Source organism: Homo sapiens, chromosome 1 (assembly GCF_000001405.40).
Source record: "Homo sapiens chromosome 1, GRCh38.p14 Primary Assembly".
Taxonomy (NCBI): Eukaryota; Metazoa; Chordata; class Mammalia; order Primates; family Hominidae; genus Homo; species Homo sapiens.
In genome coordinates this window covers 200,460,947-200,488,725 of record NC_000001.11, presented here as the reverse complement: position 1 = coordinate 200,488,725, position 27,779 = coordinate 200,460,947, and the positions used below count along the sequence as shown (strand labels likewise).

Genomic DNA, 27,779 nt, shown 5'->3' with positions numbered 1-27,779 from the left:
TAGGAGCCAGAGGAATCTCTGTGGACTAGCCTTTTTCAACCTAAACCCTCCAGCGGCTTCCCGGCTCCTAGAGTGAAGTTGAGACGCTGTTAACCTGCTTTGCCCTCTTCCCTCCCTCACTTTTTTCCTACTCCTCGCCCCATCCCTCAGGCCACTCTAGCCCCACAGACGCCGTCTGCACTCCCACTTCAGGCCTTTGCACCGGCCGTTCCCTCTACCTGGGCTCTCTTCCAAGATATTCTCCCAAGTCTCCCTCCTTTGAGTCTTTGTCAGATGTTGCCTTTTCCATGAGACCCACTGTGACTGTGCTTCCAAAAATTGCAGCCCCGGCCTCAACATGCATTAGCATGAGTTACCGCTACCCCTATTATTATTATTATTATTATTATTATTATTATTATTATTATTATTATTATTATAGAGACAGAGTTTTGCTCTTGTTGCCCAGGCTGGAGTGCAACGGTGCGATTTCGGCTCACTGCAACTTCCGCCTCCCAGGTTCAAGCGATTATCCTAACTCAGCTTCCCGAGTAGCTAGGATTACAGGCATGCGCCCCCATGCCCAGCTAATTTTGTATTTTTAGTAGAGACGGGGTTTCTGCATGTTGGTCAACCTGGTCTCGAACTCCCGACCTTAGGTGATCCGCCCGCCTCAGCCTCCCAAAGTGCTGGGATTACAGGCCTGAGCCACCGCGCCTGGCCCTACTACCCCATTTTAGGCAGCACTTAAGACCTTGTATCTAACATGCTGTATAACTTGTTTTTTGTTTTGTTTTGTTTTTTGTTCTCTCTCTCTCTCTCTCTCCCTCTCTCTCTCTCTCTCCCTCCCCCCCCCCCCCCCCCCCCCCCCCCCGTCTCTCTCTCTCTCTGTCTCTTCTTGAGACAAGGTATAGTCACCCAGGCTGGAGTGCAGTGGCACAATCACGGCTTATTGCAGCCTGTGCCTCTTGAGCTCAAGTGATCCTCCCACCTCAGCCTTCTGAGTAGCTGGGGCTATAGGCTCATGCCACCACACCTGGCTAATTTTTCCTATTTTTAGTAGAGATGGGGTTTTGCCGTGTTGCCCGGGCTACTTATTTTCTCTTTTTTTCCTTTTTTTTTTTTTTTTTTTGAGAGGGAGTGTCGCTCTGTCGCCCAGGCTGGAGTGCCGTGGCGTGACCTCGGCTCACTGCAAGCTCCACCTCCCAGGTTCATGCCATTCTCCTGCCTCAGGCTCCTGAGTAGCTGGGACTACAGGTGCCTACCATCAGGCCCGGCTGATTTTTTGTATTTTTAGTAGAAATGGGGTTTCACTGTGTTAGCCAGGATGGTCTCGATCTCCTGACCTCGTGATCCGCCTGCCTCGGCCTCCCAAAGTGCTGGGATTACAGGGGTGAGCCGCCATGCCCGGCCACTTATTTTCTATATTTATTGTCTGTCTCACCTCATACGGAGGTAAGTTCTATGAAGGCAAAGATTTTTGTTCATCTTACTGATTGATGTTTTCCCATTTCCTAGAGCAATGCCTGGAACATAGTGCCTATTAAATATTTTTTGAATAAGTGAGTATTTCCAGGTCTTCCTGACCAAGCACAATCGGCTTGGCTTTATGAGGATGTCCATCGTTTAAACTTTGCTATTTTCTGATGGAAGCATCTGAGAGGAGTGTTGTGAGTAAATACATGTAAAGAACTTGGAACAGTACCCGGTACCCAGTAGACTCTCAACACACAGGGCATTTCATGACAGGAGGTGTGGGGTTAAAATGTGTGCTCTGAGCCAAACCGATCAGGGCTAAGTCCTGACTCCATCTTTCCTAGATGTGTGACCTTGGGAAATGACTTCATCTCCAGGTGCCCTCAGTTTTCACTTCATAAAACAGAGATGATGATGAGATAAAGTGCCTCAAAGGGCTGTGGGGAAGTGTCACTGAGGTCATCTATGTGAGGTGCTTAGAAGAGGAACAGGTTGCTCAAAACCTCTCAGATGGGCTGTGGGGAGGGCCGGTGGAGGGTCCAGCAAAGGAGAAATCTGTGAAGAAACTGAGGGCGATTCCAAAACTCTCAGCTCCAGGAGTATTCTGAGGAGAGGTGACTGAAGTGGATCATGGAGCTTCTGGAACAATTTGGGAAAACTCTGGGGAGCTGGCCTGGAAGAGGCACGGAGCGTAGGGGGAAGTTAGTGGGGAGACATTTAAAGGGAGAAATCCTGCAAAGCTGGGAGTTTAATGTGGAACTGAGTGGGGGACCCACAGAATCCCTTGTAGCCCTAGTGTGGGGCTAAGTGAATGGACGTGGGTAGATTTGGGGTAAGGATGTCACTTGGGACTGGAGTTGGCCCTGTGCCTCAGAGCAGGGTCTTTAAAACACTGAACCCCTTGATCTCCTTTGTAAGAAGGGTTAAGGTTCCATGAGTGCCTGGAAGTGGAGGCTGTGAAAATTAGTGAGACAAGTAAAGAAAACTCTTTGTTATTGAAAAGGAAGAGTCATTATTAAAGTGCGAAGATGAAAAAGAATTTATAAAATGCTCAAACAATGCATGCGAAGGTTGTTGTACTTTCTATAATTAAGGAAAATATTTCTAGAGGTGATTGATCATATCTCTTTGTGTTATAATGCCTACTGCTATGACTATAATCGTCCAGTCAACACACTCTTTTAGAGACTGGATGATTTTTTAAAAATACGATCATTTCAGCATTCACAGTTTTCTGCTGTTGAAATACATATTTTATTTTTAACAGCTTTAGTAAGATATAACGCACTTACCATATAATCTGTCCACTTAAAAATGTACAGTTTGATGGTATTTGGTGTATTTTAGTTGTACAACCATCACTCCAATCAATTTTAGAACATTTTTATCACCCCAAATGAACTGTACCCATTAGTAATCACTCCCCATTCTTCTCTACCCTCAGCCTCTGGCCATCACTAATTTCCTTTCTGTCTCTATAGATTTACCTATTCTGGACATTTTATAGAAGTAGAATTATAGAATTTGTCAACTTCTTTTTTTTTTTTTTTTTTGAGGCAAGGTCTTTCTTGGCCACCCCGACTGGAGTGCAGTGGTACAATCATAGTGCACTGCAACCTGGAACTCCAGGGCTCAAGTGAACCTCTCACCTCCACCTCCCAAGTTGCTGGGACTGCAGGTGCACACCATACGCTCAGCAATATGTCAACTTTTATGACTGACTTCTTTCACTTAGCATAATTTTTTTTTGTTTTTTAGATGGAGTCTCACACTGTTGCCCGGGCTGGAGTGCAGTGGTGCGATCTCAGCTCACTGCAACCTCCCACTCCTGGGTTCGAGTGATTCTCCTGCCTCAGCCTCCCGAGTAGCTGGGATTACAGGTTCCCACCACCACATTCAGCTAATTTTTTGTATTTTTAATAGAGACAGGGTTTCACTATGTTGGCCAGTCTGGTCTTGAATTCCTGACCTGGTGATCTACCTGCTTTGGCCTCCCAAAGTGCTGGGATTACAGGCGTGAGCCACTGTGCCTGGCCCACTTAGCATAATTTTTATAAGTTTCATCCAAGTTGTAGCATGTATCAGTACTTCGTTGCTTTTTATCAATGAATAATATTCCAGTGTGTGGATATACCACATTTTGTTTATCCAGTTATCAGTTGATGAGCATTTGAATTGTTTTCACTTTTTGAATATTATGAATAATGCTGCTATGCACATTGGTGTATACATTTCTGTGTGGATATATGTTTTTATTTAGCTTGGGTATATATCAAGGAGTAGAGTTGCTGGACCATATGATACCTCCATGTTTCACCTTTTCTTTTCTTTATTTTTGTTTGAGACAGAGCCTTGCTTTGTCACCCAGGTTGGAGTGCAGTATGTAATCATAGCTCACTGCAACCTCAAACTCCCTCCCTAATTCCAGCACTTTGGGAGGTGGAGGTGGGCAGATTGCTTCAGCCCAGGACTTGGAGACCTACCCTGGGCAACATAGACAGACCACGTTTCTAAAAAAACAAACAAACAAAAAAAAGAGGCTGGGTGCCCTGGGAGGCAGAGGTGGATGGATCACTTGAGGTTAGGACTTTGAGACCAGCTTGGCCAATACGGTGAAACCCTGTCTCTATTAAAAATACAAAATTAGCCGGGCGTGTTGGCACGTGCCTGTAGTCCCAACTATTCTGGAGTCTGAGGCAGGAGAATCGCTTGAACCTGGGAGGCAGAGGTTGCAGTGAGCCGAGATCATGCCACTGCACTCCAGCCTGGATGACAGAGGGAGACTCCATCTCAAAAAAACAAAAACAAAAACAAAAACAAAATATCTACAAACAATCAGTGGAGTATACCTATTGGGTTGCTATATTTTTTATTTTATGTTTTCAATTGTTTTTGGGGAGCAGGTGATTTTTTTGTTGTGTGGGTATGTTCTTTAGCGATGATTTCTGATGTTTTAGTGCACCTGTTCCCCGAGCAGGCATACGTTGTACCCACTGCACCCAAACTCATAGCTCACTGCAACTCCCAACTCCCAAGCAATCCCTTGCCTCAGCCTTCCAAAGTGCTGGGATCGTAGGCGTAAGCCACCATGCCTGGCTCCATGTTTTACCTTTTGAAGAACTGCCAGACTGTTTTCCAAAGCAGTGAAGCACACATTTTTGCAGTAAAGCAAGAAATTTTATAAATGATATGCCCTTTCCACAAGTTCCACTTTTTATCCAGACCTTCTCCTAAGGGCTGATCTCTGCAGCCTGGAGCCTCCAGGTGGGCAGCCTGCCTACAGTGCTAAGGGCAGGTTGATGGAAGAGAGTGGGAGGGACAGCAGGGGGAGGAGAAGAGAAAGAGCAAGGCAGAGAGAAAGAAGAAATGGGTGACTAAGGCAGGAGTAATAAAACGTTGAGCTACTGGGGGCAGTCCACTCCTAAGCCCTAAATTTTAAAATATATTTGTAGTATAAGTTTTCTGAGCAATTCTTTCAAGCGCTTAAAAGGAGGGGTTGGGGGATTTGAGCTCCATGTAGAATGCTGAACACTGTCATCAGCTGTGGCTGGTTCACAGGATTACTCATGTCCTGCGGTGAAGGGCAGATAGGAAAATGACTCACTTCACATACAGCAGTGCCCCTCCACCCTGACGCACATAAGAATCACCTGGGAGCTTTTAAATACTACCGATGCCAGGACCTCATGCCAGAGATTCTGATGGACTTGGAATGGGGTGGAGCCTGAAGGCTGGCCTATTCTAAAGGCTCTTCAGGGATTTTTAATATGCAGCTAGGATTGAAAATCACTTACGTAGACATACAGTTTTTATGTTTTAACAAATACTTTTAAGGCAAACAAACTACTGGGATGATCTTTGGATGCACCACAGAACTTTTTCAGAAGCATTTGGGCGTCCCAATGATTTCTACTTCTAAAGAGTGCTAGTGAATGAGGGATTTTGATTGAGGGCTTACTTTGCTGCCTTAGTGTTCTCTCCTAACCAGAAGCCTTTCTGTTTTGGAATCATGGAGCACATCTTTTGTGGGCTGCGAAAAGCTCTAGGTGGAAGGGAAGAGCATCAGGTGGTGAAGCTGAACCAGGAGAGTCTAAAAACCACGTGGCCTCTCAGGCACCCTTGAGTCTAGAGGGAGTTCCCTGATCTTACATTTGAGAGTGATTCTAGGGGTAAGTACTTTTTTTTTTATAACTTTTTTTATTGCAAAGATAGTTTTTGATTATTATAGAGCAGAACTGGTTGATGGGCTTGAAATTTTATATTTTTCTCTAATTAAAATATCTACAAACAGAGGCTGGGCGCGGTGGCTCATGGCTGTAATCCCAGCACTTTGGAGGCTGAGGTGGGCGGATCGCTTGAGCCTAGGAGTTTGAGACCAACCTGGGCAACATAGCGAGACCACGTCTCTTAAAAAAATTTTTTTTAGCTGGGTGTGGTGGCAGGTGCCTGTAATCCTAGCTGCTCGGGAAGCTGAGGCTGGATAATTGCTTGAACCCAGGAGGCGGAGGCTGCCGTTAGCTGAGATCGCGCCATTGCACTTCAGCCTGGGCAACAAGATCGAAACTCCAACTCAAAAAAAAAAAAAAAAAAAAAAAAAAAAAAAAAAAAAAAGGCCGTGCGCGGTGGCTCGTGCCTGTAATCCCAGCACTTTTGGGAGGCCGAGGTGGGCGGATCACCTGAGGTCGGGAGTTCGACACCAGCCTGACCAACATGGAGAAACCCCATCTCTACTAATACAAAATTAGCCAGACGTAGTGGCACATGCCTGTAATCCCAGCTACTCGGGAGGCTGAGGCAGGAGAATCGCTTGAACCTGGGAGGCGAAGGTTGTGGTGAGCTGAGATCGTGCCCCTGCATTCCAATCTGGGCGACAAGAGTGAAACTCCATCTCAAAAAAAAAAAAAAAAAAGAAAGAAAGAAAGAAAATATCTACAATCAGTGGAGCATTCCTATTCGGTTGCTTAATTTTTTTTTTTAATTTTCAATAGTTTTTGGGGAACAGGTGATTTTTTTGTTCCATGGATCAGTTCTTTAGTGGTGATTTCTGAGATTTTGCTGCACCTGTCACCTGAGCAGTATATGCTGTACCCAGTGTGTTGTTTTTTATTCCTCACCTCCCTCACCCCTTTCCCCCTGAATCCCCAAAGCCCATTATCTCATTCTTACGCCTTTTTATACTCATAACTTAGCTCCTACTTATAAGTGAGGGGGTCGGTACTCTTCATTCAGCCATACATTCAGGAAGACATGTTTATTGGGTTCCTTCTGAGTGCCTGTTCATCATCTGGAGCAGTATCATGGAGTTAGAAGACAAGTCCTCTGACTCTGTGCCTTCCAGTCTCCACACACCTCAGTGACCTTCACACCACCACCCTCGTCCAAGTCACTGTCTTCTCCAGCCTAAATGTCTGCAGTTGCGTCCTACTAACTGGCCTACTCGCTTCTGCTTTTAGTCCCCTATAGCCTATTCTCATAGCTAGAGGGATAAAAAAAAAAATCAGATGCCCTTATTCTCTTGCTCAAAGCTTTCAAATGGCTTCTTATCACATTTAGAATATAATTCAGCTCCTCAAATGTTACAAGACCGCACCCCTACCCACCTCTTTATTCTCATCTCCTCTACCTTCATCTTCCCAGCCCTGTTGGCCTTGCTCATTTCTTCCTGAGGGCCTTTGCACTTCCTGTTCCCTCTGCTTGTTTTCCCCCTCGATATCAGTTGGTGCTTACAAGTCTCTCTAAACCAAGCACCCTGTATTAGAATCCATGTGTCTCTCACAGCAGCCACTAAGATCATTTGCAATTAGGAGGTACTCAATAAGACACTTGATGATGTGAATGGATACAAATATAAAGAAAATAACATATAAAGAAAATGACATCTTGGAAAAATCCTTGCCCAAAATTCTCTGGAACAGGTAACTCAAAAGAGCCAAATCAGCATATCAAGTCTGATGTGGTTCTCTTGCTGCTCAGAGAGCTGCAAAGATTTTACGCTTGTGCAAGCAGATCCTCTGGAAGAAGTAATTTTCTCTTTGGGAGAGTAGCAGTACACAGGCTCAGCAGTAAATTCACAGTATTTTACAAGATAGAAAGCGAAAATCATATTAAAAGCAGTAATCATACACTAGCGGCACCAATCTCTCGTACGTTAATGGTATGGTGCCATAATTTGACCATAATTTCTCTCTTTCTGTGTCTCTGGCTCTCTCGACTATGAAAATGCTTAGTGGCAGTTCTGCACAGCACGAAGCAAAACAGTGGTAGTAGAGAAAGATACATTTTGATATAGCACAGTCTCTGCTTCCTGTATTTCTTTTACCATTTAAGTAATGGTAGGCTTTGCATTTGTATAAATCATGCAGACAATAGTGTGGGACTATGAAGACGTGGTCCATGATGGCTTGAGTCTGTGGATCACAAACCTCAGATGAAGGTGGAGAGTGTTAGGGAAGGTAGGCACAGTTTCAATCAATTTTCTTCCATTGTTGCTTGTAATAGGTTTTCTGAAATGCTTTCACCTTATGAGCATTCATTCTGCTTATTCTTTTGGAGTTGTTCTGCATTACTCAAAAATCATCTCTGATTGTCTTCCACATGTTTTTCCTTTTTAGAGAAAAACCTCACCAGGTGCTTGGGAGGCTGAGATGGGAGGGTTGCTTGAGCCTAGGAGTTCGAGACCAGCCTGGACAACATAGCAAGATCCCCCATCTGAAAAAAAGAAAAAAACAAACAAACAAACAAACAAAAAACCACACACAAATTTAAAAATGGGGGAAAAAACCCCTCACACACAAACCTAAATGCAATATATGTTGATTTTAGATGATTTGGAAATATACAGAACAAAGAAAAAACAGTTACCCATAATTCCACCACCTAGAAAAAAGTCTTAATAATTCCTATATTTCTGTCAGAATATGTTAACATTTTAACTTTTTATGATTATAAAAGCAATACATCTTGATTGTAGAAATTTTGGAAAATGGAGAAACTGTAAAGAAGTAGGAGGAACAGCTCATCATGTAGAATAACTTTTTGATTATCAGTATTTCACTACAACAAACATGGAAATCAAACAAGAGCATCAGGCTGACTGGTTGAAAGATCCCAAGTAAAAAAATAAAACAAAAACATTTCTGCAGGTCTGAACTGAGTGACCTTTGAGACTCTCAGCATTGGCTGTATTTTCCTTTTCTGGAAATGCTGGGCTGGGAGCATTTCCAGAAATACTCCTGGGCTGGGAGAATGGCCTGGGCTGGGAGGATGGCCATGGAGAGGCTGGGCTGGAAGTATAGCCATGGGCTGGAGAGCCTGGGCTCAGAGCCTGACCTGGGCTGGGAGGGATGGCCATGGGCTGGAGAGGTGGGGCTGGGCTGGGAAGATGGCCATGGAGAGGCTGGACTGGGAGGATGGCCATGGGCTAGAGAGGCTGGGCTGGGAAGATGGCCTGGGCTGGAGAGGCTGGGCTGGGAGGCTGGTCACGGGCTGGAGAGGCTAGGCTGGGAGGATGGCCTGGGCTGGGAGGATGGCCATGGAAAGGCTGGGCTGGGAGGCTGGCCATGGGCTGGAGAGGCTGGGCTGGGAGGATGGTCTGGGCTGGGAGGATGGCCATGGAGAGGCTGGGTTGGGAGGATGGCCTGGGCTGGGAGGATGGCCATGGAGAGGCTCAGAACTCACCACAAGAGGTGGGAGAGAGGATGAAAGCTGGGAGCTGAGTGTGTGTCAGTGTGTGCAGAGGGGCTGGGGAAGGAGAGTGAGCATGCTTGCACAAGCATTCAGGGTGGAGAAGGCCAAGGAGAGAAAAAGGGAGTGAGCAGGCAGGTGGAGGCTACAAAAGTGGCCCTGTGCAGGGTGCTGGGTACTGCTGAGAGGCTGTCCTCTAGGGGTGCCTTGCAGGAACCGAGAGCCTAAGTCTGTCTTGAGGACTGCTGGGTGCAGAGTACACTTCTCTGTGACCTGGCAGGACTATCTGGGTCATAAATCACAGATTGTTTGCACCAACGAGGACCCTATCTACTCAAGTAGACCAAGACGAAGGGAAAGAGACTCCAGTAGGATGGGAGGTGGGAGTGGGGTTTGGCTGGGAGGGTCCAATGCTGCTGCATTGAGTGACAGGTGGCTCCTGCTCTCTAGTCACTTTAGGAGAACATGGTCCTGTACAAAGTCCACTCTACAGGGAGCTCATTGGACATCAGGGTTCCATTCCAGCTCTAATGCTGGCCACCCTTAAGTTTGTTATTCTGTTTACTTTTTTTTTGAGACGGAGTTTCGCTCTTGTTGCCCAGGCTGGAGTACAATGGCATGATCTTGGCTCACCGCAACCTCTGCCTCCCGGGTTCAAGCGATTCTCCTGCCTCAGCCTCCCAAGTAGCTGGGACTACAGGCATGCACCACCATGTCCGGCTAATTTTGTATTTTTAGTAGAGATGGGGTTTCTCCATGTTGGTCAGGCTGGTCTCGAACTCCTGACCTCAGATGATCTGCCCGCCTTGGCCTCTCAAAGTGCTGGGATTACAGGCGTGAGCCACCCCGCCAGGCTACTTTTTTTTTTTTCTTTTAAATCAACACCCATCCTGCCTACAGTGGGGAGAATTCTCATGAGAGTAAAATGAGATGGTAAATAGTATTCTGTGGCTGGATTCCAAGTACCCTTCAGGTCTCTGTTAGGATAGCACTACCTCCAGGAGACCTCCTCAGACCCACAGTCTGGGTTAGGGGCCCACACTATGAGCTTCCATAGTAATTGATCCCTGGCAGATTGATTGTCAGTCAGTTTACCTCTCTGGCTAAGCTAATGATCAGGACTGGTTGGTCCCTGTATCCTATCCCAGCACGGTTCCCGGCACCACGAGCAGTTCAGTAAACCTTGGTTGGCTGAATTAAGTGTCGCTGTTGAGTCACTGCAGAATATAATGCAATAGTTACTGATTTGCTTTTTATATAACAAAATCAAAAATTGAGAGGCAAAGAACAGAAGTAAAATCCAGAAGACTCAGCTGCTTGGGGCATGTTCCCACCCTGGACTTGCCAACTTTCACTGTGAAACTGCAACATATTAAGTATTCGTCAGCTACGGACTTCGTGCCCATGGAATTTAATCTGCTACTTCCTCCCAGGCCAACACCTTGAGGCCAGAGGCAACAGAAAGAGGATTGAGTGAAGCAGGAAGCCTGCAAAGCCCTGGATTCCAATCCAGCTCTAGCTGCGAGGCGCTGGGCACGGGTCACTGCTCTGCGGCTCTGCTTGCTTGTCTGCAAGGTGAGTCAATGCGGCTGCCTCGAACGCTCTTTGATTTTTATTTACCTGAAACAAAAAAACTTGTGAAGCCAGCAATACAGGCTTAGGCAGTCACCCTAAGAGCTGGCTAGGATTAGGCAGCAAACAATCTTTTGGCTACAATGTCTAGCAGGTACGAATACATTAAACCAAACATGTAAAATAGCGTAATTTGTGCTGGATGCATGGCTAAGTCTGCATGGGTCAGTGTGTGGGCACAAGACTAAATCAAGGCAAGGAGCCACCCCAATAGCTCACGGAGCTGGTTAAGCACCTGTGTCATCATTATGGTAAAACAGAATCAGAAAAAGTGTATATGTGTGGTGGGGGAAGGCTGGTAGGGGAAAACCATTTATTGAATCATAGGTAAATTTTTGTTTGCCGGCTGGGCGCGGTGGCTCACGTCTGTAATCCTAGCACTTTGGAAGGCTGAGGAGGGTGGATCACTCAAGTCCAGGAGTTCAAGACCAGCCTGGCCAATATGGAGAAACCCTGTCTCTACTAAAAATATAAAAATTAGCTGGGTGTGGTGGTGCACGCTTATAGTCCCAGCTACTTGGAAGGCTGAGGCATGAGAATCGTTTGAAGCTGGGAGGCAGAGGTTGCAGTGAGCTGAGATCATGCCACTGCACTCCAGCCTGCGTGATAGAGCAAGACTTGGTCAAAAAAAATTAAAAAAAAAAAGTTTTTTGTTTGCTACTTTTGTAAAATTTTGTAGTGTATATTTTCCATTGCAATGTATTTGTAGCACAATTGACTGACTATTGCCACCATCTACTCTCTCTCAATGGTTCCTAGCTCAAGCACATTCTCTCTTAAAATTGTAAAATTATACCTAAGCACCTTACATTACGTTGTTGCTGAGCCCTTGGCCTTACATTATATTATTTTATTTTTTTGAGACGGAGTCTAACTCTGTCACCCAGGCTGGAGTGCAGTGCACAGTCTCGTCTCACTGCAACCTCTGCCTCCTGGATTCAAGCAGTTCTCCTGCCTCAGCCTCCCAAGTAGCTAGGACCACAGGCACATGCCACCATGCGCAGCTAATTTTTGTATTTTCTGTAGAGACGGGGTTTCACCATGTTGGCCAGGCAGGTCTTGAACTCCTGACCTCAAGTGATTTGCCTGCCTCAGCCTCCAAAAATGCTGGGATTACAGGCGTGAGCTACTGAGCTTGGCCAATTTTAAATGAACCTAATGAACTACCTAATATGTTTAACTATTACACAGATATAGTATTTAATATGTACCTAGTGTGTATTAAAAACATATAATAGCAAATATTTCCAATTTTGTTACAGCATTAATGACCCTCCATTCTAAAATTAGTGTGCTTATTGAATTGTATAAGAAATATTTTCAGAAAAAAATCAATTATTTAATATTTAAAGGGGTGAAAACAATTTTTTTTTCTGATATTTTTTTGGGCCAGGCGTGGTGGGTCATGCCTGTAATCCCAGCACTTTGGAAGGCAGAGGTGGGTGGATCACATGAGGTCAGGAGTTCGAGATCAGTATGGCAAAACCCCGTCTCTACTAAAAATACAAAATTAGCCAGGTGTGGTGGTGGGTGCCTGTAATCCCAGCTACTTGGAGGCTGAGGCAGGAGAATCTCTTGAAGCCAGGAGGCAGAGGTTGCAGTGAGCTGGGATCATGCCACTGCACTCCAGCCTGGGCAAAAAGAGTGAAACTCCATCTCAAGAAAAAAAAAAAAAAGATATTTTTTATGAACGCTTTTTGCTCATAGTAGTTGTAAGATGAACTTGTTGGCTATTCTTGGTAAAGTTGTTATTCCACACCTCCTCTGTGTATTTATTTAGTAGCTAAAAGTATCATCCTCAATCGAGTGGAGTATGTTTCAGATGAAGGCAGCTCTGGTGGTTAATCCAATAATCAAAAGGATGGTTGGCTTTTCCTTCTACACATTCCTTAAAAATCAGTGTATATTTTGAGATGAGAGTGAGCCATGATGTGTAGAAACTCTCCATTATTACTCTACACACTTTTGAAGAACAGATGTTCCAAATCAAGAAAGAAATGTGTTGTAGGCTAATAATTTCATTAATGCATAAAAGAAAAAAAAGCCTATTTCATTAGAACAGTGTTTAACATTATACAGAAATAAGCTTTGTCCTTTGTTTGCTGAGAACAATAGCACAATCCTCTGTGTAAAGATGATTTATCTCTTGCTAAACCACCCTAACTGTTTATGACAGCAAAAAGACAGGTATCATTAACCTTAGGTGTTGACAATTTAGAATTCATGGGAATGAGTTAGAAAAACGATAGATGGGTCCCACCCCTGAGTTTGTGGAGAGCAGATGAATCCCTGTGAACCATCACCACTCATGCCTCACGTTACCAGAAAAGAGTTCCCCTTGAATTTTCAGAGAGGGGATTTGGTTTTATGTCCCCTACATCTGAAGTTGAAGTGAAAATTGTTTTGAGGAAAAATGGATCTATATTCCAATCGAAGTATTTTCCAAGGCCCTAGAATCAAGTTTATTTGTAAATCCATAATTTACTGAACCGTTTTACCTTCCTCGTAAGTGACTCATGTATAAATTAGTGATGGATTCCTGATTAATTTATTTTTGCTGCTGTTCTTAGATTTTAAAAGCTTGCATTCCTCAAGATCACCCTCTTCATAAATACCTTCAATAAATTTCAGCACAGGATGATGGCTCAAGCCCTTTTATCCTTTGCAGAATGATATAATCGGGCATTCTAAAGCAAATAAGAATTCAGTGACCCCAAAAATGTATCGGATTAAAACCTACCAATAAAAAATGAAGTGTTACCAGAGAAAATACTCTGCAGCTGTTCTTTGCTTTAGGTACACATAATAACAACATGAGTGTGGGGTATGATCTGGTTTCAGTGTGGCATGCATTAATTCACATTTTAAAATCTTTTACATATGCTTATCTTCTTATGAGCATAGTGCAGTACTACATTAGATCTACTTAAAATCCATTGAGAGTATTGATTTTTTTCTTGAGAAAAATCAACACAGTGAGATGGTCTCTCTCCTCGTATAAAGCCCATTAGAGAAAACCAGAATTGTGTTGACGTAAAGGAGAATGTTTCCTAATGTACATGACATATCACTGTGGTTCACAAGACTCAACTCTCTTCCAAATCTAATTAACTGATTCTGTTAAGCTTATATTCTAGCCCCTGTTCGCATGGTTATCACACCTCTGTCAACCCAAACTCCCCTATTTAGGAACTAGAAGTGACTAAGAAAGTGACTCATGAAAATATAACTATCTTAAAGATATTTTACTAACATGGTAATATTAAATCAAATAATTACATGAACTGTTGGAATTTCATTTGGGCAATTTTTTAAAAGATAATTTTTAATTGCTATGAGACTGGAGTTTAAGAGTGGATGATTTAACTGAAATGTTTTAGTAAGACTGGGTAGATAAACCAAACACCCTGAATTCCCTTAATAGCAGTTATCATTCTGACATCTTCTTATTTTAAAGAAATTGCTGAAAATTTGACAAAACTAATGTGGATGGCTATAATTAAACTTGACAATATCTATATGGGGGAAGAAGTGAAATCACTATATTTAGAAACGAATGCTACCATCCCACCCCAACTACATGTTCAGGTTAAATGCGTGCACATCCTGGTAGCTGGAACATCTGTTTCTAGCTTGTTGTTCCTCTTGGCTGCTTTTCAATTGGATTTCCTCGAGCAGGTCCCAGGCTTGTCACTGCAGCCAGGGTCTGTTAACCATCACCACTGGTTCTACATTAAGTAGGAGGTTCAGGGCTAAGCTAATAACTCGCCTGCCTTTCTGACTGATCACAGTGATGTTCGCCGTGGCCACTTATCATGCGGGCTCCTTTGGGAGGGTGCTCTTCTTTGTCTGTACCTCTGGGTGGAATTGGTTTTGTTTCCCCTGGTTCCTGGAGTTACGTGTGAAAGACAAGGCTCATTGTCACTTCCATGGAGCGGCTGTGTAATGCTTTGCCCATGCATCCGCTGCACTCAAACATGAAACTCGCTCTGCCCTTTCTGCAGGACCTCTAAATACGATATGTGGTGATTCTCTTCTTCCTCCACTCTGAAAAACAAAAAAGAAACTATCACTGTATGTAGTTTACAGGAAACTAGGTTAGAATGAAACAGAGCACTTTAGTGTTCTGAATCATGGTTATGATTTGGCATAAAATCACAAGTGGGAAATGTTTGATGCTTATGGCATAGCATCGTATGTGTGGTCCACATCCAAGGGGTCAGGTGGGGGTAGGGTTGGAAGAAAAGAGGCAATTGCAAAGATGCTTAGACAATTTTCTAAAGGCCTTTAGACAGTTCAGTGGCTTCCACTTTATAAATGTTCCAGGCTGACTGTAGAAAAGGGGATGTCCAAATTCAAGGGCACACAAAAAGCATTTAGAAAGTTTGCTAACTGACAAGGGGGAATTAGTGAATTTGCTTCCCATTTCTACTTTCTAGGTGGCTTCTGAAACAGCAAAGAAAGTTGGGTTTCATCTGGGACCTGATATCCTGGGGTTGACACCATCCTGTTGTGACTCCCACAGCTGATAAGCTTTGATAGAAATTGGCGGCCCCATCTGTCAAACTCTGCCATGACTTTTTTTTTTTTCTTTTTTTTGGAGACAGTCTCACTCTGTTGCCCAGGCTGGAGTGCAGTGGCGCAATCTTGGCTAACTACAATCTCCATCTCTCAGGTTCAGGCAATTCTCCTGCCTCAGCCTCCTGAGTAGCTGGGACTACAGGCGTGTGCCACCACGCCCAGCTAATTTTTGTATTTTCAGTAGAGACGGAGTTTCACAATGTTGGCCAGAATGGTTTCGATCTCTTGACCTTGTGATCCGCCCGCCTCAGCCTCCCAAAGTGCTGGGATTAAAGGCGTGAGCCACCGGCACCTGGCCAAACCCTACCCTGGCTTTAAACCTGAAAAGTATTGCTTTCCCTAGGTTAAGGATTTGTAGGAAATTCTCTCGCCAAACCCTGCCCTTGTCCCTTGTATGGATCTATTGCAAGGTGAAAAATAGATATTGGATGAGTAATCACAAGCAGTAACAGCTCTGGTGTGATCAGGTATGGCACTGAAGCATGAGAATAAGATCAGGATGCAGTGATATTCTGATACAGGTGGGTGTTCCTCTTTTTGGGAGTGGGGGTAGTGGAGAGGGAGATGAATGTCATCCAGGTTTCTGACTACTGAAGTCATCAGTAAAGCCAGCATTGCTCTTACTAAACGTGATGAGAACAGATCTTTTGTTTTGATTTTATCTATCTCCTTTGCTTACCAGTTTTATAAGCACTTCTGGAAAAGCATCCAACTTTTTGCAATTGTAATTGTTAAAATCTGCTCATTCGCTTGAATTTTTAAAGCACAGAATTTCATTGTTAGAGTGGTTTGAGCTTTAGAGAGAAAATAAATTTATGACAGAGAATCAGGGAAAAATTCTAGCGTTTTGGGGGCGAGACTGTGATTTCCTTTTTGATCTTGCAGGCAAGGAAAAAAAAAGCAGCAACTGCTGATATTGGTGATTATGCAGAAGATGCTGGGTAGTATTTACTGAGCACTTACCAGGAAGCTTGCCTGGTTCCATGTGCTTTACCTGCATTAACTTCCCTCAGTTCTCCCAAGAATCCCACGAGATCTCTGTTGCCTTTATAGGAACCAAGCTAAAATGTTCATCAGCACAGCAAGTTTCTACTTCTCCTGTTTAAAGAAAATCTGAAAAATACCTGGATCCTTCCCTCCCATCAGCCCCCACTTCATCCATCCTCTTATGAACTGAGGGAATCTTTTATCATAGGCAAGTATAGGGTAAACCTGAGAAAAACCTTGAAGAAAGATTATGTAAGTTGAAAATCACCTAAAACTGCAGTTTTAGTCCTCCACTTTGCAGAAGAAATGAAAATATCTGGAGGAGGGAGAACAGCAGCAGAGAGAGACTGTAGGAAAGGAAAAACAAATGGCCGATAAATGTGGTCTTGAAATGAACAAGTGCACGACAATTAAGATGATCCTTTTTATGATGCCTGATGATGTCACCCTATCATTCTCTTTATTACAGTGACTTTCCACTTTCATTTTGGGACAGATGCAATTTTACATAATACCAGTGAAAGAGTTACCCTAAGAACAATAATATGTAAACATCATGTCTAAATTCAGACTATCTCCATACACTGCAGGGAAAGCAGAAGAGTGAAGAAAATGCATATTCTAAGCTAGCAGTATTAATTCAAACTCTTTATCTTTAAAAATATTTTGTTTTTAATTATTTTATAAACTACATATATGGGGACAGGTACAGTGGCTCATGCCTGTAATCCCAGCACTTTGGGAGGCTGAGATGTTTGGATCACTTGAGCCCAGGAGTTTGAGACTAGCCTGAGCAACATGGTGAAAACCCATCTCTACAAAAAATACAAAAAATTAACTGGGCATGGTGGTGTATGACTGACTGTAGCCTCAGCTGCCCGGGAGGCTGAGGTGGGATATCAGAGCCCAGTTGGTTGAGGCTGCAGTGAGCCATGATTGTGCCACTGTACTCCAGGCTGGGTAACAGAGTGAGAGCCTATCTCAAACAAAAAAAGAAACAAAACAAACAAACAAAAAAAAACCAACTTCATATATGATCTCATTGATAATAATAGCAACTACTCAAACTTTCTTTTTATTGTCATCTTATTTTAGAACTTTGTTTTACTTTTACGTAGTTCTCCTCAAGCACCAGATTCAATGTCCTGCCCTACTTTTTCTTTCTCTTTAGTGCTATATCTTTTTTTTTTTTTTTTTTTTTTTTGGCGACAGGCTCTTGCTCTGTCACCCAGGCAGGAGTGCAGTGGTGTGATCACAACTTACTGCAACTTACATCTCCTGGGCTCAAGTGATCTTCCTACCTCAGCTTCCCAAGTATCTGGGACTACAGGCCCATGCCACCACACCTGGTTAATGTTTGTATTTTTTATAGAGATGGCCATGTTGCCAAACCTGGCCCGAACTCCTGGGCTCAAGCAATACACCCTCCTCAGCCTCCCAAAGTGTTGGGATTACAGGCATGAGCCACCTCACTCGGCCCTAGTGTTATATCTGTTTGAATTTGAATTAATATGATTAGCTTAGAATATGCATTTGCTATGGTCTTAAGTATAATTCAAAGACAAGATTAAAAAATTTTTTTAGGTCAGCGTGGTGGCTCATGCCTGTAACCCCAACACTTTGAGAGGCTGAGGCGGGTGAATTACCTGAGGTCAGGAGTTTGAGACCAGCCTGGCCAACATGGTGAAAACCCCATCTCTACTAAAAATACAAAAAATTAGCTGGGCATGGTGGCGGGTGCCTGTAATCCCAGCTACTTGGGAGGCTGAGGCAGGAGAATTGCTTGAACCCAGGAGATGGAGGTTGCAGTGAGCCAAGATCGTGCCACGACACTCCAGCCTGGGCAACAAGAGTGAAACTCCGTCTCAAAAAAAATTTTTTTTTAATTGACACATAATAATCATGCATATTTATGGAGTACATAGGGAGGTGATTATACATGATGTATAGTGATCAAATCAGGATAATTAGCATATCCAGCATCTCAAACATTCATCATCTGTTTGTATTGGGAACACTTAATATCCTCCTTCTAGATATTTGAATTCTATATATTATTATTAACTATAGTCATTCTACAGTGCTAGAGAACACTAGAACTTATTCCTCCTATCTAGCTGTAATTTTGTGTCCTTTAACAAATCTCTTTCTATACTGCCCTTCTCCCGCCCCTTCCCAGCCTCTAGTAGCCTCTTTTCTACTTTTTACTTCAGTGAGATCAACTTTTTTTTTTAAGCTTCCATATATGAGTGAGAATACATGGTGCTTAACTTTCTGTTCCTAGCTTATTTCACTTTCAAAAACAAGATTTTTAATGTTTACATAATATTCTATCTAGCAGATGGTCCAGAGTTACTCCATAGCTGGATTTTGAGAATATCTCCAATGTCTTACTGGCAAATATGTTTGTATATACAAATGTTTTAAAAGCTAGAATAACTATGTTATAGTCCCAGAATTGCTAAGTTTAAATGGTGTGCTTAGCTGGAAAAATCTAACATTCTTTAATTTTCAATAAGAAATAAGAAAGAAAGCTTTCTCGCCTGGTTTTAAGTTAGCAGAGGAGTTAAAAACTTCTACTAGAATGAAGTTGCTTATCTGACCCATGTTTTATTAATATATGGAGTGATTCCTAGCTTAGAAACACTAAGGTGATAACTATGAAGAAAACTTAAAGTGAAAAAAGCACCATTTTATATCCTCTGTTCAATGCAAACACACTTTCCAGAATAAAAAAAAAATTCTGACATATCTTTATGTATCTATAAATTTGGCTTGTGAATGTGTATATCCTAGGGAAGATGTATTAATAGGTCTGTAATGATATAAAATTTATGCTGGGGGTGAGGCAAAACTTAATGGTTCATAAATAGCAAATTCATTATATTTTTAATACTCAAGTTATATTAACACCATATAACATCTTTATGGTGCCATTAGAACCATTTAAATCTTTGACTCAACCTGAAAAACAAACATTTCCAAATCTTGGCCATGAAATGATTAGTCAAATAAAATGTTTTAATAAATATTATTGGATTAGAACATGGTTGGTTGGGTCATAAACTGTCTTATGAATGTTTTATGTCATCGGTTACACTGCATTTTTAAATGTTAACAAATTAATTTATTTTAAAGGCCGCATCAAGGTGAAAACACCTTGTTTCCACTGGAGCATTAGGCAGCAGGACAATACATCATGGAGCCATTTTTCATTCAGTCATACCACTGGCAGAACAGATGTTAAGACATAAAATGTGGTATGGTTTGTTAAATATTCATTTATAATTTGCATTCATTATTAAATTATGTGTTGGGCTAATCTTTAATCTTAAAAATACAATGTCATGAAGCTCTCAGAATACATGATATTTTATAATTTAGTGTTACTTTAAGTGTTGACTAGAACGTACACAAATGTTTGTCAGTAATGATCCTTAATTATTCCAAGGAGATTTGATCTGCATTGGTATTGAGTTCAATAATTCATTCAAGCCTTCAGGTCACTAAGAGAAATATCAGTTTGGGGATACCATCTCTTCTGTGACTAATGATGATTCAGCTACTTGCTTCTCATAGCCACACTGTCATTCATTGCCTAAAACCATTTTAACACAGAGTGGTGACTTTGAGGATCTTATTTTTTAGTGGTCTCAAATGATTATCACAATAAACTTCACTTTTGGTTTAGAAGCTCGAGAGTAAAAATTCTCTAAGATTCAGTTCTTTGAATAGACTATCCTAGAATACAGTAAATTCTGGGCTTGAGAATTTCCTATGCTCGAATAGTCAAATATTTGATTAAGCTCCATAGCTGTGATATTCAATTTGCATTTGGTAAGCTGAAAAAAGTACAGCCATCATGAGAAAGCTGGATGTGGCGGAGTGGTGATTTGTATTATAGTAGCCTGGTAGCTGCCCAATGAACCATGTAAAAACAGTTCATTAAAATGTTTATGTGCTTGGCTGGTTAATGCAAAGAAAGCTTTATTGCAGCCTTATAAAACCTTGGTAACTTCAGGTTGGAGTCAGATCAATGCATTGTAATAACTCATGCATATGCTTCATCTCTCCTGGAGTGGAGAAAAGAACCAAGAAACTTCCTTTTCTTCCTTGTTTCTATCACCACATATTTTCAGATTTTAAAAATGAATCCAAACTTTCTTCCTTTTGGCTCTTCTTAAACCAATTAAAATAGTCCAAGTTCATTTATAGGCAATTTGTAACACTTCATAAAACCATGAAGTATTGTTTATAATAAAATCTAATCAACAAATATGTGATTACTGCATTTTTACTGAACATCAAAATTTTACTGAACTTCAAAAACTAACCAGTATTAAACCAGAAAGCAGACATGCTAATATTTTTCAACGAGTGTCTCCCATTTTCTTAGGTAGTTTTGGGGATGCATAGACCTATTTTAAGCCCAGGAGGGTATGAGTAGGAGACTATACCTATGTGAGACTTTTAGACGTTGACATTTTAATAAATAGTTAACAGTTGGGTCTACAAATAGAAATGATATTTTTAAAATGCTCCCTTAAACAAAATATACCCATTTTTAATAAAAAATTGATCTATATGGGTATTTACCTCCACAAGAGATACACAATTAGATCTTTAGATGGGAAGTAGTATTTCCGATTCATATATACAAAGACTTCCAATAAATAATGACTTATTCATTAGTCTAGTATGTTGAACACTGCCTCAGGAACAAGCACAAGAAGAAAACATGCTTTCAGGAGCAAAGCCAAAAAGTGCTAAGATCATACAATAGTAGAATATTAATAAAGATATGGCAATATGTTTTCTCGCCTTCCCTTGCTATGTACACCACTATTTATTTTAACACGTGAACACACGGAGGAAGAGACCATAGACTACAACATTGTTACCATCAAAATGCACCAATTAAAATAGATGCTCCTTGCACACAGCAGACTGCCTCAAAATATTCTTAATGTTCTATGTATCAGCCAAGCCATGGCATTTGAAAATTGTCTTAATGGGCTTGTGAACATCAAAATCCCACCTTCCCCGCCTCCTGTAAGGTTGAAGAGTGGATGGCTCCTCCGAACTGATATTTGGAGATGTTTTTTTTTTTTTCCCTAATTCCTCAGACTGCCCAATCTAAAAGGGAAGTTCTTTTTTTGGAATTTGGTACTACATCATGTAAAGATGAATTTGACTCTAACACACTGTCTGTGGAATATTGTATTATAAAAAGTACTCGTACTAAATTGAAAACAGTACCTAGCATAATGCCTTAGATATGATAGACACTAATTAAATATTTGAGTGGCTGAATGAATGTGGAGGGAGTGGTATTTTAACATTTGCTTTGAGATCCAGTGGCTGGGTCCTCTTATCTCAGAGTATGAGGTTGCAGGGAAGGAAAGGAAAGGAAGAATCCATGAAGTAAAATAAAAGAAGCCAAATATTTACCTGCTTTGGAGTGCTAACCTTCGTAGCCCTCAGATGTATGTAGAACACCATTTAAAATATTTGTTAGCACAGCTGAACATTAATCCTTCTTCTCTGTGGATTGCTAAAGAAGATCTGGGGTTGTTGAGTTGGGTCTGAAACTGCACCAGTTCAAGACCGCTTAATTGAGAATCTTTTCTTATCATTTTAGATTGCACACCCCATCAACTTTTATACAGGATTAGGAGGCTGGAAGCCATGGTGTGGCCTCTGATTTGTGATTATGGGTGGAGAATTGGTGTGCACTGACCCAATCTCTCACACCAGCACTGCAGACATCAGTGGCCATACTTAGACTTGGATGATTGTTTTGGCTTCTGATGAGACCCAAAGCAAGTCAAGAATCTACTTATTTTTATTTTTTGCTTTTTATTTATTTCTGAGATGTGGTCTACCTATTTGCCCAGGCTGGTCTCAAACTCCTGGCCTCAAGTAATCTCCACCATCCGCCTGCAAAGTACTGAGGTTACAGGTGTGAGCCACCGTGGCTGGTCTAAGAATCTATTTTTAACAAATTTGTTTGACTAAAATCTGCATGTGTATGTGACTGTGGCTATGTGAGTACATGGGAGAGGGGATGGTATAAGAGGAGAAGAAAGAAGGACCTAGATTTCAACATCTCTATACCTATGATCATGGCTCTCCAATTTCTAGGATGGAAAAAGAGATCTCCGATAAGTTTAATTAAGCTTCCTCATCTCTGCAAGCTTCAAAAAAGCTGAGTCTGGTGGAGAAAGGAGGGCTGGCTAACCATGTGGGTCTCCTCAAGTCCCCTCAGATCTAATTGCAAGCATAAATGGCCCCCAGTCCTGGAGCATATCAACTTGATGTGTATAATTGATAGCCAAACATTTTTTACAGGCTGTTAAATGGTAAGGCCACAATGAAATGTATATAATGTTGATTAAAGTGATTTTTGTACAAAAGGGTCAGAGACATTAACAAGTTAAAAGAAAATGTGAGCTCTGTTCTTATTCCTCTAACCTTTGTTCGGGTTTTCCCATAATTGACACCACATGTTTACTATGCCTATTTTCGTCAAATTTAAGGCTGTTAGTATTCAATGTATTTAGAAGTGCTCTTGAGATTAAGGCAGTCACAGAGTGCTCAGAAAGGTAGATTTCAGATATTATCACAGCACATGGTAAAGAGAAAGATTTAAATAAACCCCTCCAGCTTGCCTTGTGTTAAATTGTCTGGCTCCTAAAGTAAAGGTAACTCTGAAAAGGATTAAAATGGACATCTAAATGATAATTACTGGGTAATTTTGTTTTGGTTATAATTTGTGGTGTTATTTTTATAACTGACATGAGACATAATATATTTTTCAGGGTTCTGCAATAGCCAAGCAACAAATGGAAGCTGTCAGAAAGTATTTGTAGGAACAGTTATGGAAGAAAGCTGCGAGGTTGTTGAAACGCTACACAGACTACATTTTTTTAGCCTATGCATGAGTAGAATACTTTCCTAAAAATGTAATTGACTGTGGACGTGTGGCATACAGCAAGCCCTCTGCCTAGGCTTTTGAAATCCTCTTATTTTCACTGATGCAAAACCGGCATGGTGTCTTTCAAGGATCTTTTCAACTCACCCTGTGTCATCACACGCACATTACTGAGCATTTGATGCTGTCTTACCTCCTGTTCTCTAGACCCGTCCCTCTTCCTCTTTCTTCCTGTCTTTTCTGTTCTATCTGTGCTCTGGATCACTCTGTGGCACCAAGGACACTGCAGGGGCTTTAGCTCCTGGTCCTTAACTGGCGGCGCTCAAATCTACTGACTTTACTGACCTCTGCCCAAGCCATGAACTGAGACCGACGAATAGATCACCCAAACTCCCAGCAACCAGCACATGGCAGTTGTGCAGGGCCTTTTCCATGCGGCATAATTTCGTGGAATTTCTCTCTCTCCTCATCTGGCTCTGATTATTTGCTGATTTGTAATTTTAGTTATTCGTGTGCAAGTCTTATCTCCTTTGCCAGACTGTATGCTCCTGAGCAACATGCACTATGCTTGATGCATTTTGTGCGTCTTCTCTCCTTCCTGGGCTTGGCATGGTGCTCAGCACAACGTGGAAATTCAGTAGATACATTGTGAGTGAATTCATGACATTGAAGCTAGGAACACAGAATATCCTAAAGATAATCCAGGTATCAATGCCAGAGATTGGTCACATCCTGGCTAAATCTGTAGCTATTTAAACTAAGTTTCCAGTTTCTTATTTCCATAGCTATGAAATCAAGAGGATATATATTTTAAAGTTTCCACAATATCTTGTTTTCAGAGATTTGAAATCAAGATGTTATATCTTCTTCCATTGAGTAGGAAATAGCTCTCACGCCCTGCTGTGGCAGTACAAGGCTGAAGGAATTATAATGATCCTTGAACTCAAGTCTCCTGATAACACATTTTATTAACTGGTAGGAGACTAGAATAAGACTTGTGGGTGAAACTAGTATGTCTCAAGCAATTCTAATTTCCAGGCACAGAAACTGTACTTTGTAGCAGCAGAATTTTATTTGAGAAGTGACTTTACTAGGGGAAGTCCTACCAATTGTTTAATTTCTTTTTCACCCTAAATGATAGGAAAAGGGGAAATCATATAGCCTCAAATACTCAAAGATATTTAACTTTATAAACAGGAAGCACACGAGGGTTGCATTTTGTTTGCTTAATGGCAATTTTTGGGAAATACACAAGAAACTAAACAACTATGTTTATGAACGTTTTTAACTTTTCCAATCTTTCTTGATTCTTTCTTTCTCACTACATAGAGATTTAAAATAATAAAATCAGTTATTGCAATGATTAAAATGGTTTGAAAAAACTAGTACTTTTCCACTTCTTTTGCTTTCCAGAAAAAGAACTCATGTGTTCCAAATTATATTTTTCCTCAATTTCTGTTCAGTCCTTCATATTACATTTTAATTGGGATAAAAAATTTTTTTTCAATTCACAAGCTCATCAATCCAGAGGAGATACTTCTAATATAAGTTATAAGAGCAAACATTCAAGAAAACTGAAGTTGGAAACATGTTTGTGTCTTTTTTCCATGACTAACCCATGTCTATTCTCTATGAAATTGATGTCAAAAAGGTATTATATATTTTCAGTAGGAAATAGAAGGCTGCCCTCTACTATCCTTGTCAGGACGTCGTATCCCTTTAATCATACTTTTCATTTCAGTACATTGAAATTTCCGTTACCAAGGACAACATCATAAATAAAAGTGTTTGTGAAATTTTACCTGCAGCTTCCTAACTTTGTGCATTAAGCATGAGACTAGCAGAGAGGTGGTCAAATGTGAAAATTTATAATCATTTATTACGTACGGCTGAAGCAAGAAGGGAATAAAAGCGTGAAGGCATACATCTATAAACGGAAGCCGAAAACCTTAAATGAAAAGTAAAGTGAATTTCTGTGTCTTGTCATAAAGTAATGAGAAGCTAGAGCTTTTATTCATAGCAACCCAAGATGCATTTACTCTCAATCTAGCTTCAGCAGTAAACGCTTCCCTGATGTATTGCTTTGGACTTACAAAGAAATATTTGTGCTCTACATAATAGTATAGTTAGGAGAATTACTGCATGGTTGAGAAGATTCTATAAAGCTTTATAGCTGGTGGTGTTACTGTAATTTAATCACAATGTAGCTAATGTAGTACTTTAATATCACAGGTTACTTTTTTATTTACCATTTATTAGTAACTGACAGAGTCAATCATCTCTACATCATAAACAAATCATGGAGGGATTCTATAGGAACCCTAAAATTCCGGGATAGATGTACTATGGCTGTTTTACACTACCACATTCCCTGTAATGAGCTAACCATCAAATTATTATTTAGATCTGTGAAATGTAAGGCAGGCTCCTTGTTCTTAGTCCATTGGCCAAAGAAAACTTGAGGACATTTTATGTCAGGAATACAATTAGCACCGCATGTCATTTATGCTCAGAAATAACTCATTGATCCAATTCTAGCAAAATCTAGAAGCATTTTCTGAAAAATGTTAAGGTATTTAGCTAAAATTTTTTCTAACTGTTCTGTAATCTATTCATGAACATTACCATAATGTTAAGCTTAAACCAATGCTTTGTCATTAGGATTTTTAAATGAAAAGTATGTTTTTATACTTGAAAATAAAATACAAATGCTTTTGTCATTTCTGTTTACATATATTGCTCTCTTGATAGATTATAGATAGAAAGATAGATAGACATATAATTAGTTGTTACATAAACCATGTCACATTAATATGGTTGATGCCAGAAATATTAAGCAAGACTAATAAGGAATGCTGCTAATGTCTGGAAACTGTGACACTGTGAAAAGTAGGACTGACGACATGTCTAAGCCTAAATCTAGGTTTGGGTTTTCTGACCTTGGACAAGTCTCCTGACCTCCATGAATCTCAGTAGTTCCATCTGTAAAACAGCAATACTGGTATTTGTCCTACTGATCCCACTAGACTGTTGTGAGAATCCAATAAGATATTGTAGAGAAAACATCCTGCAAACTGAAGAGGTACACAAAGCATCAATATTTTGGACATAAAAGGCTATAAATAAATGTAGAATTGAGTGTTCAAAGCAGGTACTTTTTTTTTTTTTCCAGAGTCTCACTCTGTCGCCCAGGCTGGAGTACAATGGCACGATCCTGGCTCAATGCAACCTTCACCTCCTAGGTTCAAGTGATTCTCCTGCCTCAGCCTCCCAAGTAGCTGGGATTACAGGCATGTACCACCATGCCTGGCTAATTTTTGCATTTTTAATAGAGACGGGGTTTCACCATGTTGGTAAGGCTGGTCTTGAACTCCTGACCTCAGGTGATCCACCCACCTCGGCCTCCCAAAGTGTTGAGATTACAGGTGTGAGCCACTGCACCTGGCCCAAAGCAGTTACTTTTAATATAATATGTGAATAGTTTTTATTACAAAGAGGGTAGAAAGCCATGTAAAAAAAAAGTTCTATATCTTACCTAATATGTATTGTGCACCTACTATGTACCAGGCACTGACAGAACCTATTGCACTAAGAATAGTTGATGAAAGTCTCCAAAAGGACAATGAATTGAAACTAGGTTCAATGTTAGTAGATAACCAAGTCCCAATCATCTCTTCTAGAGCCTTTACACTTGCTACTATAGGCCACTCTCTTTCAGCGTGATTGGATTGTCTAAATTTTTTAATTATTGGGAATTTACACACCCTTAAATTCTCCGTAGGCCTTCAACTTGCCTAGGGCTAGGCCCACGTGAAGTAGTTGGGCTATAACTTAGTGACAGTGGCTGATCTCTAGTTTGGTAGGTGGTACTTCTGGAAATAAAAATAGCTCTGCTCAGAAGCACAACTTTAGATTAACAACTCAAAGAAAGAGAGACAGTCTTCAGGTAACTGAAGTGACTGTTCAGTTGAGAACAGAAATGTCAACATAGGCATGGGCTTTATTGATTTTTTTCATGGATGTTATTTAGTTCCTTGTGCGTGGAATATCCTCCTCTTTGTCTGTCAAAGTCTTGCTATTTCTTCAAGGTCCAGTTGAAAGGTTATTTCCTCCATAAAATCTTCCTGTCTGCCCCTTCTATTCCATCACCTGATCTCTCACTTATAAGTCTAAAATTTTGCTCTATATTAGTTATTTCCATGTCATTATTTATTATACTTTAATTTTTTCAAGGCAATGACAAGTGGACTTCATCTTTGAGCTCCTTTTGGCTTTTAGTTTCATGTCTTAAACAAGAAGCCACCCAAATTGTCATTGAATTTAATTACCGCCACTTTTTAAAAATTGTCTGACGTAGGTATGTATAAAACTATTAGGACTTTCTTGGTGTTGGTTACTTTAAAAATAAGAGCTAAAGCTAGCTGTTTTAGGCACTATAAAATAGTGGTGTATTGGGTTTGTTTTTCTTTTATGAAATTAATTTTAGGCCGGGCACGGTGGCTCATGC

The 27,779-nt window shown here is 41.0% G+C and overlaps 2 long non-coding RNA genes across 2 annotated transcripts; one reads left to right on the top strand and one right to left on the bottom strand.

The window, feature by feature from the left end:
- Positions 1–5,219: 5,219 nt before the first annotated feature.
- Positions 5,220–25,073, top strand: LOC124900414 (uncharacterized). The gene is made up of 3 exons (XR_007066784.1): positions 5,220–5,624; positions 10,572–10,713; positions 23,160–25,073. It is a non-coding gene; the product is annotated as an uncharacterized LOC124900414 (long non-coding RNA).
- Positions 6,680–14,736, bottom strand: LOC124904480 (uncharacterized). Its single transcript, XR_007066783.1, has 2 exons — positions 14,626–14,736; positions 6,680–10,758 (listed from the first exon to the last, which is right to left on the bottom strand). It is a non-coding gene; the product is annotated as an uncharacterized LOC124904480 (long non-coding RNA).
- Positions 25,074–27,779: the final 2,706 nt, after the last annotated feature.